Below are 14,701 nucleotides of genomic sequence, written 5' to 3'. Positions count from 1 at the left end.
TAAAACTAGTGGGGGAAACTTGAGGCGCAAAAACATAATTGATACAGTCTCAAAGTACCTCCCCACAAGATATATTTATTACAAAGAGGAAAATAGTAACTTTACAGTGGAGAAACCATAACCTAGTGATCAAAGTAACATAACTAGTAATGGGACATATCGCTATCACGTATCTCCTAATATGATGCACTAAAAAGAACACATCACTTCTGTGTTACTCCTAACAAAAGTATAAACCCCAAATCTAATCATGAGGAAACATCATATAAATCCAAATTGAGGGACACTCTACAAAATAAATGTCAGGGTCATGAAGCACAAATAAAGACAGGAACTGTTCCAGATTTTAAGATACTAAGACAGATGTAACAACTAATGCGGTGCATAATCCAGGATTGCTCTGGGTTATTTTTTTCTTTCGAGAGAAGTGGGGGGTTTGGTAAAATGTGAATAAATAATAGTATATCAAAGATAACTTCCTGATTTTGATCACTGTACTGTGGTTATATAAGACAAAGTTGTTTTTAGGAAATGCACTTTAAAGTGTTTAAGAGTAAAAAGGAATCATCTATAATTTACTATCAAATGGTTTGGAAAAAAATGGTGTGTGCCTCTGTGTAGAGAGAAGGATGAAGCAAATGAGGTAACACGCTACATTTGTAGACTTGAGGTATATGAAAATCTTTGTACTATTTTGTAATTTTTCTATACATCTGAAATTATACATTTAAAAAATTTCAGTTATTGATCATGTTGACAAGCTACCAAAAGGCTTCAAAAAATAGTAGAGCGCAAATAATAAAAACTCACAATGGTTTCAGCAAATTTTAAAATAAGTAACTTAAAAGTCAAGGAGGCAACATATCAATGTAAAACCACAAAAGAACATCAGCGCCTCCTACCGATTAGAGACAGTATTATTTGACCAATTTTCAAGTCTGTTTTTGCAATTCTGAATTTTAATAAACAAAACTTGTTTTCTAGCTTAGACTTTTAATATACTTTTGATACCATTCACCTTCAAGTATATGTTGACTTCCTTTTTCAATATTGAAAAATTTACATTCCACACACAAGCTTCTTTTATTCACTAAAAGAACATGCTATTACTGAGAAATACATGTACTTACTAAAGTCAACTGCAGGTATACATGACCATATGCATCTACCATTGAAGGTTAACGGGTTATAAAAATGGAACAAATAGAATAAAACAAATAAACTGAGATGTAAGAATTTGGGAATAAATGAAAAACAGTTTTGATAAGCTACAAATTGGCTCATATACAATTCCTACCAATCCAGAGCAGGGTAGATAAAAAGACCTTGTTAAAGGCCCTAAAATCAATACTACACTAAAGCCATAAGGCTTATGAATACATGTATTTTCTAAAGAAAGAAAAGTTTTTTTTTTTTAAATTAAATGGAAAAGTAAACGAAGTCTCAAATTGAGCTTTCCTTAAGATTTTTGCCATAAGGCTTCTGAAATTTAAGTCTGAGGCATCAGCAAAAAATTGGCTGATGCTCCAAATCAGTGTATGTAAACACTCACATATACTGCATTCGCCACACATTACTGAAATTGATAAGCACCTGTTGTGTGCAAGAAACTATGTCAGGTACTGTGACAGACACAATATTGACCTGTACCCCCCAAGATGTCCATGTCCTGATCCCTGGAACCTGTGTATGTGTTACCTTACATGGCAAGATTTGCAAATATGATAAAATTAAGGATCTTGAGATAGGGGATTATCCTGGATTATCCAGGTGGGCTCAGGAGGATCAGAGCCAGAGACAAAGTTATGACAATGGAAGCAGAATCAGATAAGAGACTGGAAAATGCTATGCTGCTAGACTTGAAGAAGGAAGAAGGGGCCAGAGTCAAGGAATTCAGGCAGCCTCTAGAAGTTAAAAAAGGAAAGAAACAGATTCCCCCGAGAGCCTCCAAAAGGAACCTGCCTTGCTGACAACTTGACATGAACCCAGTGAGGCTAATGTTGGCCTTCTCATTCTAAAATAATAAATTGTGTTTTCAGTCACTGAGTTTGTAGTAATTTGTTACAGCATCAATTGGAAGCTAAGAGAGGTACCATGTAGGAATCAAAGCTGAGTATCAGTTTACAAATTACTGGGACGAATAAGACATAGAAGCAAAATGGAAAGTGGTTAATGACTTAAAATGTATAGGGTTAAAAGCTATGGAAGTTCAGAGGGAAATTATACTGCTGCTAAGACATAAGACAGCATATGAGATGGATCTTAAAAAGATGGGTAGGATTTAGATGTGTAGATAGAATGAAATGGTATATTAGCCAAGGGAAAAGTGTGAACAAAGAAACAGAGGGGGAAATGGGATATAAACAGGAAGCACTATTATTCTAATTTAGCTGGGATGTCAAGATGTGAATACAGGTTGGATATCAGTCATCATTAACTACCATGCTAAGGAGCTTAAAATTCTTTTTATAGAAAATGGGAAATTAGTGTTTATGGATATGTATGTTTATTAATATGAATATGTAACTGGAACTGTTCTTTGGAAACAAGGAGTAAGTGGCATCCTAAAATAGATTAACGTTTCAGAAAGTTAGCTTGGTTGGCCATGCAGTTAAGAACAGAAGGTGACACTAATGGGAGATATTATAATACTCCTGGCAGAAAGTGACAAGAGCCTGAATTAGGATTATGCCAATGGGAATGAAGATACAACAAACATGAGAAAAAGTCAGTGTAGGTGGGATGAAGGGAAAGGGATAAGCCAAGATATAAAAAGGCTTCCAAAGTAAATAATTAAGAAGACTGTAACTAACCGAAAAACACAAAATGCAGGGGATGCAGATAAGATAATCAAATCTTGCATTTAGATGTTGGCAGGCCTTTCAAAATGAAATGGTCTAATAAGAGAAAACACCCGTTTAAAGAAAAATTGTTTTTACTATAGGTACTAACATTCAGAAGCTTCCAACCATAGAAGTATCTGTGCTAAGACAGTAAACATAAGTAATATATTCTGGCCTATAGAGTATTAATGTATATTGGCATTAGACATGTTTCAGTCTTTTGAGAAATTACCTACTGCAACAACACTTCAAAGTCCCATCAATTCTGGGACACTAAAAACAATTTAATTTGAAAGGCTAAGGTGCAGACCATATTATCAAAGTAGTGTTACTCTGTGAGAAGACAGTCAATTAGCCTTCTCCAGAGGGCACCATTTCCAAATTCTAACAGAAATATATAAACACCAATGAAAGACAATAAAAGTGCTTTTAACTTGTGATAAGAATAAACCAAAGGTAAAATAGTACTAGACAAAACAAACTGCAAAGTTCCCTACATTTTCACACTCCCTTTCCCATCTTTCCTCTCTCTTTAAAATACACATTCCCCACAAAACGTACCATTATCTCCATATTCAAGTCTAACAGCTAAACCAAGAAGCCAGTCAATAGCTTCTTGTCGATCTTGAATCTTGAAAGGACAGTTAACATCTCTGAGATACTGTGAGGGGGAAGAAAAGAAAACCACCAGTTTCATTATTACCATAAAGTCACAGAAAAAAGAATGGGAGAGTTGAAAGAGACCTTAGTTTGGATCTCTAACAATTTTTTAATAACATTACTACACTTTTGATGCAATTATATAACCCAACAGAAGGGAACATTTAAGTGTATCATCTTAAGAAAAAAAATAGAATACGACAACTTCCTCATTTTATAGATGAGAAAGCTGAGGCCTAGAGATTGACACTTGCCAAGGGTTACACAACTTACACCTGGGACTAGAATCTAAGCTTTCTGATTCCTAGTCTCAATACACATAGAGCAATTAACTAAAAAGAATAACTTTAAAAAGGATATACAATAAATCATTATCTATCTAAACCTTAACTTTCATATTATGGAAATGCCACTGAAAAGAGTAGCCATGTAACATACATGTAGGGTGTAACCAAGTAATTTAAATAAATGTCAGAAGCTGTATATTCAAATAAATGTTGCATATAATAGTATTATATGTAACATTAATTATATGTAATATAAGATTATAATAAAATCAACTTGAAGGATAATAACTGTTTAGGTTCTGATATGTTGAAATTATTCTTACTGTCATTCCAGGTGTTTCACATCAGAAATACGTGTGTGTATATGTACATATATACACACACATACATACATATTTCTTTTTTTTGAGACAGAGTCTTGTTCTGTTGCCCAGGCTGGAGTGCAATGGCACAATCTTGGCTCACTGCAACCTCCGCCTCCTGAGTTCAAATGATTCTCCTGGCTCAGCCCCCTGGGCAGCTGAGATTACACACATGCGCCACCACACCTGGCTAATTTTGTGTTTTTAGTAGAGACGGGGTTTCGCCACGTTGGCCCGGCTGGTCTCGAACCCCTGACCTCAGGTGATCCACCCATCTTGGCTTCCCAAACTGCTTGGATTATAGGCATGAGCCACCGTGCCCAGCCTAGACAATTTTTTATATTCTCCAGATACCTTTCTACATGCAGAATTCTGTACTGTCTTGTACACATGAATAGACCATAAAATGTAATATAAACAAACATAAAATCCTAAAAATATATTTCAAAGTTTTAAGAAGTCCACTGAAAATTTTAAAAATATTTTCTAAGAGCAAAGGAAAAGAATACAGTAGTATTAATAGTAGTAGTATAGAGGCATTGGCAGTAATAAGCTTATCACACTTGCTATGCGCCAGGGACTTCTGTGAACAATTACTCATTAAAAACAAAGCCACACTTATGAGATAGGTATCATTGTTACCCTCACTTATTGATGAAAAAATTGAGACACGGAAAGGTTAATAACAATGATGTAATTTATACAATCCCTAATTTATAAAATCACTGATTCTAGGGAGAAAGTGCCTAATCACACTGCTCTCGCAAATGAAAAACTTAGCCTTTTTCAAGAAAAATATCTCACTCATCAAATATAACTGATGAAAATGTTTAATGTAAGAAATGACACTAAAAGCATTTTTATTCTAATCTGAGAATTCTTTTTTATGCAAAAGTGTTACTAAAACTAAATCAATGGGAAAATGATTCAAGGCACAAAAATATGATATACCAGAGATCATTTAAGGACTATTTCCCTAGCATACAACAAGGGATATCTGTTTACATTAAATATAAGCATAAACACGACAGTCTTGGTTTTCAAGCATCTCAATAATGTCTTTTTTTGAGACAAGGTGTCACTCTGTCGCCCAGGCTGGAGAACCTCAGCCTCCCAATTAGCTGACACTACAGACACAGGCCAGCACACCCAGATAACTTTCTATTTTCTTGTAGAGACAGGGTTTCATCATGTTGCCCAGGCTGCTGTCAGAACTCCTGAGCTCAAATGATCTGCCACCTCAGCCTCCCAAAGTGCTGGCATTATAGGTGTTAGCCATCACACCTAGCCAATGTCTTCTTTTAATATAAGAAATAGTACTGTGTTTAACAAAAATTCTGATTTGGGCCATAAAGGGAAAGCGAAATATTTACATCATTATTTATTTAAGAAACTTCATGTTTCTAGAGAAAACTATTTCTACCTAATACTGAAAGCTTGGTAGGAAGACATAAAATAATTTGCTCTAAAAGCAAAAGACACATCTAAGAAAAAAGCAAAATCCCTGAAATCCAGCTTTCCTAACACTGATCATTATCATTTTTTTCTTAAAAGAAGAAAGTAATTTTAAGCTCATCTTCATGATTTTTCAGACAAACTCTCTGTATTTTTACTTTACTTCCTAATTCATTACCTTTTCAAAGAACTTGGGCCAGTCGCTGCTGTGGATGTTTCTTAAATTCCCTCTGTCTTCAATCTTGTAGTGCCTGATTTTCTGGTCTTCAAGCCAAACGATGAAGTTTCTAAATTCTGTTTCATCTGCAATAAAAAATATCACATAAATAACTAGAAGCACTACATAAAATACCTCCTTCTCAGGTATATGTTCAGATATATGTTCTTGTGGAATTTTCTTAACTTCAAAATACTAAATTAATTGAACCAAAAGAGGGAGTTGAAAGTACAGATTCTGGAGTTGAAAGTACAGATTAACAATGATCTGTTCAAATCCTGGGTCCAGATACTTACTGGTTGTGTGAACTTGGGATAATCACCCACATTTTCTGTGCCTCAGACTCTTCAGCTACAAAATGAGGGTGCTAATAGAACTTACCTCATAGAGTTATGAAGATTAAAAGAAGTTGTTTTATTTAAGAAGTTTCTTAAATAAAATAAATACGGATAAAAACAGTGCCTGGCACATAGTTTTGCTATTTAAGTGTTACATATTAATATTCCAGTTCCTTTGCGGACAGAAAGGGGAAGGAGGGCAAGGTTAAATTTATAGCAAAGTAATAAAGTAAAATATACAACAAAATAATAAGTAAAAGAAATTAAATGACAAAAAAGACACTGTGACAACTGTTGTCATGGAATGTTAACTGCACATTAAGTGCATAATTGTTTCGTTTAATCCTCCCCATACCTCTTTTGAGGTAGGTAATATCCCATTTTACAGATAAGAACATTGAGACTCAAAGATTCCAATCCAGAACAAGGCTCTATTGTCACTGATACTTTTTTGTTAAAGTAGAAAAACAATAGATTATAATTTGATATGCTTCTACAGGCGATCAACAAAACACTGTCATCCTGCTTAGAAATTATTTTCAATTTGTGAGTCAAATTCAAGCTTCCATTATAAGGTCTTGAGAATTACACAGTGGTCTGAGTATCACAAGTTATACTTGATCACTTTCAAACTTACCAGTCTATCACAGGCCACAACTATACAAAGGAAACGAGTAGTGGTGGGTAGCAGTTTAGTTACAGTGAGTAGCAACGTTATTACTTTTTAAAATTCTAATGCTGTAAAATCCCAAATACCTTTGTATTCACAATTCAACCTTCCCACTCATCTGCTATTAACTTTTTTGCAACACCACATAACACAACTAGCCCGTTACTACACGCGCTTACCCTCCCACTGTGATCGGTCCTGATTTCATTGTGTACTGTCTCAAACTGCTCAGTGGGTTCTGATTGCTTCCACCCCTCGTCCCTTTAGCTCCTGGCAGGCAGTGAACTAGTCTTCAAGTTACTCAGCACCTTCCTCAGAATCCAGCACCGCGCTGGCCCATAATTAGCAGGTGCTCAAGGTATCGCCTAATTACCCAGGGAACCATGGAGTTGAATAGTGAGTGAGAAAGACGAATGCTCTCCCTTTTATGTACAGAGAAGGTAGTTACGTGATGCTTGGAGTTAAGCAAGTGCAGAAAGTAACATGCCGAGACAGGAGTAGGTGAGAGGGCTTTAAAGGCGGGAAGGGGCGGCGAAGAGCCGAGGTACGTGGCGACCCAGAGGAGAGGGGCCCGGAGGCTGCCGGCGGAAACCAGGCCGCCGAGGGTCCCGACGGGGAGGTGGGGTGCGGGCACTGAGGCTGGGACCTCCGCCCAGGTCAGGGACACGCGGCCGGGCTGAGGCCGCCGCCTCACCTTTGCAGTTGAAGCCGGCGGGGTTGTGGTAGTCGAGAGCCGTCAACTTGCGTCGGAACATGGTCCCCGCTTCTCGCTCTGGTCCCCCGGGCCTCGGCCGGGAGAGAAGAAGCGAGGTGGAGCGGGAGGCGCAGGCACCGGCGACGCGGCGAGAGGGCGGGCAGGCGCTGAGTCGCTCCGAAATGACGGCGGCCTTCGCCAATCGTGGCTTAAAAGCGGTGGCCGCCGGCAAATGCCCACCAATCGCGGCTCCGGCTGGGGAGGCGGGGCCACGTCGGCGCACGTCGACGCTCAAATAAACTTTATTGTCAGCTTCCTGGTTGTACAATAGGCAGAAAACCACCGGGAAGCCACTTTCCTTTCTTTCTTGCTATAGCATGCAGAGAATAGTATATGTAGGCTTTTGGTATTCGCTGTACCTCCCGTTGGATTACAGAATTACTGTTTAGTGTTTTGAGTGCATTCATTCATTTTATTACTCCTCCTACATAACAGGTGCTCTTCTAACACTGGTAATACAAAGACTACAAAGCAAGGTCCCTATAGTAAGATGCTTTCAGACTAATTGGGAGTGATCCACAGGTAAACATACAATTGTTAATACGATGCGATCGTTCCAGATATCCTCAGCCAGAGTGAAATCTGAAGCCGAGATCGTCCCTCACTCCCCCTCACCCTCGGTCACAGCATCCAGTAGGTCACCAATTCCTGCCATTCTGTCTCTCCTAACTCTCAAATCCCTCACCTCCTTTCGGACCCCACTGATACAGCCACAGATCAGATCCTCATCACTTTTGCTTACTCTAATTATCTGATTGATTTCTTAGGGCCAGTCCTGCGTTCTCCAAACCATTCCTCCATACAGCGATGAGAGAGATTTTTCTAAAGCAAAAACCTGTACATAACTTTCTCTGCTTATGTTTTAGTGGTTCCTGGTTACCCCCTAGAAATAATCAAAACTCCTTATTGTATTTAAGATCTTTCCTGATCCAGTCTCTACTTGCTTTTCAGACAGTGGAGAGAGAGCAGTGAACAAGACAGACCAGGCCCCTATTTTCATGGAGTTTAAAAGGCTAATGAGGGAAACAATAAACAGATAAGTATAAACTAAGGCTTGAAGATGGTGAGGCATTCACCATGCAGTCAAAAGGGTAACCTAGTTTGAGGGAAGAGGATGTATAAAGGCAAGAAATGAGCAACAGCATGGCCCAGAGGGACTAGAGCTTATAGGGGCTGGAGGGTGAGAGGGAATGACAGCTGATAAGACTATAGACAAAGGCAGGGCTCTGATAAGGAAAAGCCTCTCATGGCAAGCTAAGGGGAGCTATTGAAATTCTTGGGGGTAAGCCAACTATGTACGTTTCATTTCATTTCATTAATTAAGATTTTAATTAAACACTTAGGATCTGAGGAGCATACAAATGAGTAAACTACAGTCTCTATTTTCAGGAAGTTTAAGTATAATGACAAATATAGATGTGTAAATAAATACTTATAATCTGGAGTTAGAAAGAGTAAGTGAATTACAAGAAATATAAAATGTACTACAAAGAAGTACAGGCCAGGTGCAGAAGCTCATGCCTGTAGTCCCAGCACTTTGGGAGGCTGAGGTGGGAGGATAGTTCAAGCCCAGGAGTTTGAGACCAGCCTAGGCAACATAGTGAGACTTTGTCTCTATTAAAACTAAAAAAAAAAAAAAAAGAAGAAAGAAAAATTAGCCTGGCATGCTCGTGTGTGCCTGTGGACCCAGCTACTCAGGAGGCTGAGGTGGGAGGATCACTTGAGCCTGCAAGGTTGAGGCTGCAGTGAGCCATGATCACACCAACCTGTGCAACATGTAAGACCCCATCTCAAAAATAATAATAATAAAAAGAAGTACAGAGGCTAGAATACAGCTTTAGTTTTAAGGGGGCACTGTAAGATAATCTGTATTTTTCAATTAAGGTGCTTATAGAGTGAATCAAGAAAATCAGTTCAAGAGTGTCTCATTTCCAACAAAATTTGATCAAAGATATGGCTATAATCTCATATTGTAGTGCATGCTAGTTGTATAATTAATGAAATACTAACCAAAAAATGAAAAAATGAACCAATCATGGAAGGGAAAATAATAAATACTTACATATAAATAATAAATTAAAAAGGGGGAAAAATACAATTGCAGACCATGAATTTCTTTAAAAAAATAAGGAAAAACATCTCTTACCATTTGTTTTCTGAAATTGACCTTTCAAGGCAAAAAATGAAGTTGTTTGCTCCTGGCCTAGTCTTTCCACTTCAGGGTCCCCATTGTCAGCAACTTAAGACTGTCCCTAGTCATCAGCCCCGGCCACCACCAGGAGTGGGGAGGTTGGAGGAAGATTCAGATGATGCAGAATGCTAAAGTGTCAGGGGATACTTGAGCAGGGGATAAAGCAAACTTTGGGAAAGAAGTATAAAATAAATATTAATCCATTTTTTATGTTAAAACCCAGTTATCTTTTTTTTTCTCTGAATTTGAAGGAGTTCTTTGACCTATTCTGAATGGAGTGTCCAACAGTAAGTGAATCTTACATAATTCCATTTCTGAAGACCAAGCCCTCTGTATACTTCAAGAAAAGGAAACCAACTTTTGTGTGTGTGTGTTTTCATAAGTACCCAGTGTTTAGCTCCCACTTATAAGTGAGAACCTGTGGTATTTGGTTGTCTGTTCCTGTGTTAATTTGCTTAGGATAACGGCCTCCAGCTGCATCCATATTGCTGCAAATTTGGACATAATATTTGTTCTTTTTATGGCTGCATAGTATTCCATGGGGTATATGTACCATATTTTCTTTATCCAGTCAGCCTCTGATGGGCATCTAGGTTGATTCCACGTCTTTGCTATTGTGAACAGTGCTGCAATGAACATGAGAATGCATGTGTCTTTTTGGTGGAAGGATCTGGAAATCAACTTTTATTATCAAATGACCTGAACTCCAATCTAATGGTTGATCATAGGTTTGACAGGCTATTAATTCATCTGTTGAATTGTTCAGTAAAGTGTTTAGAGTGTCAATTACATGCCAGGCAATCTTGTAGGCATTTTGGAGTCATCTGAGAGCTTAAACACAACAACCCTGACCTCAGGGAGCTTATCATTGGGCAAGGGAAGACAAACAGTACAATAATAAATAAATACATTATTTACTATTCAGAAGGTTCTAAGTACTATAGGAAAATTATAACAAGGTAAGGGGGGCAACAAATAGCGGTGGGGATATAATGGGTGTTGCAGTTTTAGACAAGATGGTCAGGTTGGGCCTCATTGAGACAGTGAAGTGTAAGGAAAGCCTAGAAGGAGGTAAGGAAGTTAGCCACACAAATATCTGGGGAAAGAGATTTCTAGATGGAGTACTCAAAAAAAAAAAAACCAAGATAAGAATGGTTTTTATATTTTTAAATGGTTGAAAAATCAAAAGAATAATAATATTTTATGACATGTGAAAGCTATATAAAATTCAAATTTCAGTGTACATAAATAAAGTTGTATTGGAACACAGCCATGCCCATTTGCTAACTGGCTGCTTTGGTGCTACAAGGGCAGAGTTGAATAAATGCAACATAGACCACATGACTCACAAAACCTAAAATATTTGCAAGGGCATATATGGTTGCAGAAATGTAGAGGTGGCCATTTCAACGGTATTGCCAGGGCAACACATTATCAAGAAAGGCAACCAGTCAGAGGTAAAAGTTGCTCTTTGAAGGACAGTTTCACAACTTGTAACAACTTTTAAAGTCTTGGCAGTTTTACTAGAAGCCTTTGTTCAAATTAGTCTTCCGAAAACAGTGAACAGAACAAGTTGGTAATAACCAGGAATAGCCACAAAAGTCTCTACAGTGCACAGAAAAACAGGTTTTATATTCTAATGAATGTTATCAATTGAACACCCCATGAAATCAGAATTTTTGGAACAAGTTGTATAATGCAGAAAGGTCTCTCTCCCTGGGGGAGCCTCCCGATGAGCAAACATCTCCTTTATCTCTTTCTGAGACTCTTTATGTTAAATATGAAAACTTGCTGCTTTTTAAGGTCAAGCTCTGGAATTTCATGATTTAGCATTAAAAGCAAAATGGCAGGGCAGTAGAACTCAATTTTATTGGTAGAAAACGAATAGGAATGAATAGGAATTTATGTAGTCATGCAAACAGCATAAAGCATTCACCTTCCACATCTAATACTGCAGAGGAAACACTTGCCGAACAGTGAAAACAACACAGAGGACAATACAGCCAAGAAGCACAGACAGGCCATTCCCAAAAATGTCTGGTAGGGGGCTAGATGCAACTTTCCTGAGATGTGATCCAATAAAATCTATTTTATACTTGAGCCAGATTTGGTTGGGGTTTTGTAACTTACAACTGAATAGTTCTAACATGAGGACAGATCCCAGAGAGAAAGGAAAGAAAGATCCACGGACTTGGTGGGACTAAACATAGGATGGGAAGGAGGTGGATGGCTTAAAGGAGGTTTCTAGAAGGTCACCTATCAGAGATGTGATAAGCAGTGAATTCTTGCATAGAAACAGGAGCACCGGTAGAAGGAAACCAGTCTGAGGAAGCTGAAGAATTAAGTTCTGCACCTGTTGAAATCGAAGTCCTGTAGATGTAGCCCATAATCACTACTGAAATGTCAGGAATGAATGTGAGTGAGTGGATGAGATGTCCATTGAGGAGCCATCAGCATAAAGTTGTAGATGGAAACTGTTACAGTAAGGTCCCTGAGGAGACGGGGAAAGAAAAGAGGACTGAAGACTTCATCCTAGGAAAACCCAGTATTCATATTTAAGGAGTAGGAGGAAGAGTCATGGAATATGGGAAAAGTGGTTGGAAGGACTAAGAGAACAAGGAATATACAGCGTCCTAAAACGTGGAGAGGAAGGGGTTTAGGGAGGCAGGGTTGGGGGCAGAGTAACAGGGATCAACATTTGGGTGATAGGATTATGTGGATTCTTCCCCCAAAAGTGACAGAAAAGCCACCTCTGAATGCTTGAAAGCCGGTAATGAATAAGGCAGAGGTTATGGTGTCATATGATATTGACCAGCATACAGTCAAATTTAGATCACCTACTTTACAGATCTCCCATGCATATTCCTGTTCTCTCTTCCCTTTCCCTAGTACCTCAGTGACCCCCACCAGGCAGAGCTGCTAACTGAGATGCCTGCAAAGGCCTGACCTTTCCCTTTGTTTCAAATTCTTGAGAACTAGTCTTTCTCCAAGATGCTAGGAATTAGGGGCTGCTACTGCAGGGACCTTAGAGGGCTGGGAAATCTCATTCCTCAGAAATCCTTTGACCAACTTGTAGAAGGTATTGTCTTGACAGCTGAGTGCCAAACAGCACGCTTTACTTTAGGTTCAGACTTGCCAGGGTTCCAAAACCACAGCACTGAGTTCAGCCTGCCAGCTGAAGAAGGGGCAGGGGATGGTGAACTCCTACAGATTTGCCCTGATCCTGCCATGGCTCTCAGACCTGTGAACATTTTAAGTAAAAGTCTCTTTTGATGAAGAATACAAGATATTCTATCTTCTACTTCAAAGTCTGACACAACTATTGTGTGTTCATGACATACGTATTAGGCCACTCACACATTGCTATAAAAATAGTTGAGATTGGGTAATTTATAAAAAAAAGAAGGTTTAATTAGCTCACGGTTCTGCATGTACAGGAAGCATGGTGCTGGCATCTGCTAGGCTTCTGGAGAGGCCTCAGGAAACTTACAATCATGGCAGAAGGGGAAGTGGGAGCAGGCGTGTCCCATGGCCAGAACAGGAGCAAGAAAGAGAGAGAGTGGGGAGGTGGAACACACTTAAATGACCTGATCTCGTGAGAACTCACTCCACTGTCATGAGGACGGTACCAAGGAGATAGTGCTAAAGCATCCATGAGAAATTTGCCCTTATGATTCAGTGGCCTCCTATCAGACCCCACCTCCAACACTGAGGATTACAATTCAACGTGAAACTTGGGCGGGGACAACATCCAAACTATATCAACATCTAAAGGCCTAGGTAGCTCACAATGAGTCAGTTAAGGAGGATGTCCGACCTGGGTAAAGAGCGAGGGTGGAGAACATTCATTCATTCATTCAGCATGTGCTATGTACCATGGTGGACACTCAGGATATAATGATGAAGACAGACATGATCCTCCCCTTCATGGAGGTTACAGCCCAACAGGGAGGCAGGAAACAGCAAGGCAAAGGAGATGGAGGTAAACAGAAAGGGACCTACGTTAGATAGGGTGGTCAGAGGAGGCCTCATGGAGGAGGTTACATCTAAGCCAGCTATCAAATATGAGCTATTACCGGATTTCCCAATGGGGAAAGGGCAGAGCATGAACAAAAGCATGAGCACAAAGGCCCCTTGTCAGCAAGGGTTTGCTTCTGTGAAACTGAAGGAAGATCAGGGAGGTAGGAGGGTGGTGAGCCGGGGGTTGGGTGTACTGTTGTTAAGTGAGGAGGGAGGCCATGGTGTGGAGTATGGACTTTATTCCATGTGCATCAGAAAGCCACTGAAGGTTTTAAGCAGGAGTGACAAGCTGTGGCTTGGGTTGTAAGATCTTTCTGGGTACTGTGTGGAGAATACAAGGGAGCTGGTGGAGAGTGAGAAGCTGGGAGACCAGTTTAGGAAGCCATCGCAGTGGTGAGGTGAGTGGGAACGGTGAATGTCAGAAGCTGTTGCATTGTCTGGTGTAGCATAATGGATTGGGGGGATTATCCTTTGCAAATTACACTTTACTCTCTTTTCAGCCATTATTGTGGGTGATTGAGACTCATCCGTATGAACTATTCACCTTCGTACCTCCCGTTTACAACTCAGCATTGCTGGAAGAGCTGAACAGCCGCATGGATCATTTTTCAATTATAGAAAAACAAATTCTAAGCCTGAGAGAAAAAGTGCATGAGAAAGAAAGGGAGGAATATAGCTGCTAGCAGACAAGACATATACTTCCCAGCTCCACCACTGTGACTCTTTTAATTCAAAGAGATTTTTCAATTTTCCAGTGAGATTCTGGCCTCAATTCCTGTCCTAGGCTCAGAAAAAGCACAATAGTTTCTTTATACATCTTTTCTTTTAAAAAGCTCCCTGGAAAATATTGTAAATATGCTACTATATTGAGGTTTGATAATAAAGGGAAAAATTTTGCTCTTTA

At 39.2% G+C, this 14,701-nt stretch overlaps 1 protein-coding gene and 1 long non-coding RNA gene across 3 annotated transcripts in view, besides 2 other annotated features; one reads left to right on the top strand and one right to left on the bottom strand.

Annotated features, from left to right (window-relative positions):
• The window catches only part of RTRAF (RNA transcription, translation and transport factor), a 21,149-nt gene extending 13,468 nt beyond the window's left edge, over positions 1 to 7,681 (bottom strand). The window contains exons 1-3 of the mRNA NM_016039.3: positions 7,527 to 7,681; positions 5,786 to 5,910; positions 3,405 to 3,504 (exon numbers count right to left, since the gene is read on the bottom strand). Of these exons, the coding sequence (NP_057123.1) occupies positions 3,405 to 3,504; positions 5,786 to 5,910; positions 7,527 to 7,587 (286 nt within the window). The 5' untranslated portion in view covers positions 7,588 to 7,681. The remainder of the gene's footprint in view (positions 1 to 3,404; positions 3,505 to 5,785; positions 5,911 to 7,526) is intronic.
• LOC105370497 (uncharacterized) lies at positions 6,643 to 14,701 on the top strand. Of its 2 annotated transcripts, none has more exons than XR_007064166.1 (3): positions 6,643 to 6,708; positions 8,538 to 10,064; positions 14,298 to 14,701. It is a non-coding gene; the product is annotated as an uncharacterized LOC105370497 (long non-coding RNA). The 2 variants fall into 2 exon arrangements; XR_943863.2 differs by lacking the exon at positions 6,643 to 6,708 and adding an exon at positions 7,768 to 8,108.
• Positions 7,202 to 7,261: an enhancer, noted in NCBI's record as "active region_8385". NCBI's record gives its function as "activates an Ori minimal core promoter by ATAC-STARR-seq in GM12878 lymphoblastoid cells {active_cell/tissue: GM12878}" and the evidence as "EXISTENCE:reporter gene assay evidence [ECO:0000049][PMID:35858748]".
• Positions 7,602 to 7,896: an enhancer, noted in NCBI's record as "tiled region #5932; HepG2 Activating DNase unmatched - State 1:Tss, and K562 Activating DNase unmatched - State 1:Tss". NCBI's record gives its function as "activates a minimal TATA promoter and a strong SV40 promoter by Sharpr-MPRA in HepG2 and K562 cells {active_cell/tissue: HepG2 | K562}" and the evidence as "EXISTENCE:reporter gene assay evidence [ECO:0000049][PMID:27701403]".

The sequence above is a fragment of the Homo sapiens genome, chromosome 14 (assembly GCF_000001405.40).
Source record: "Homo sapiens chromosome 14, GRCh38.p14 Primary Assembly".
In the NCBI taxonomy this organism is placed as follows: Eukaryota; Metazoa; Chordata; class Mammalia; order Primates; family Hominidae; genus Homo; species Homo sapiens.
The sequence above is the reverse complement of the archived record's forward strand: the minus strand, read 5'-3'. Positions and strand labels throughout refer to the sequence as shown.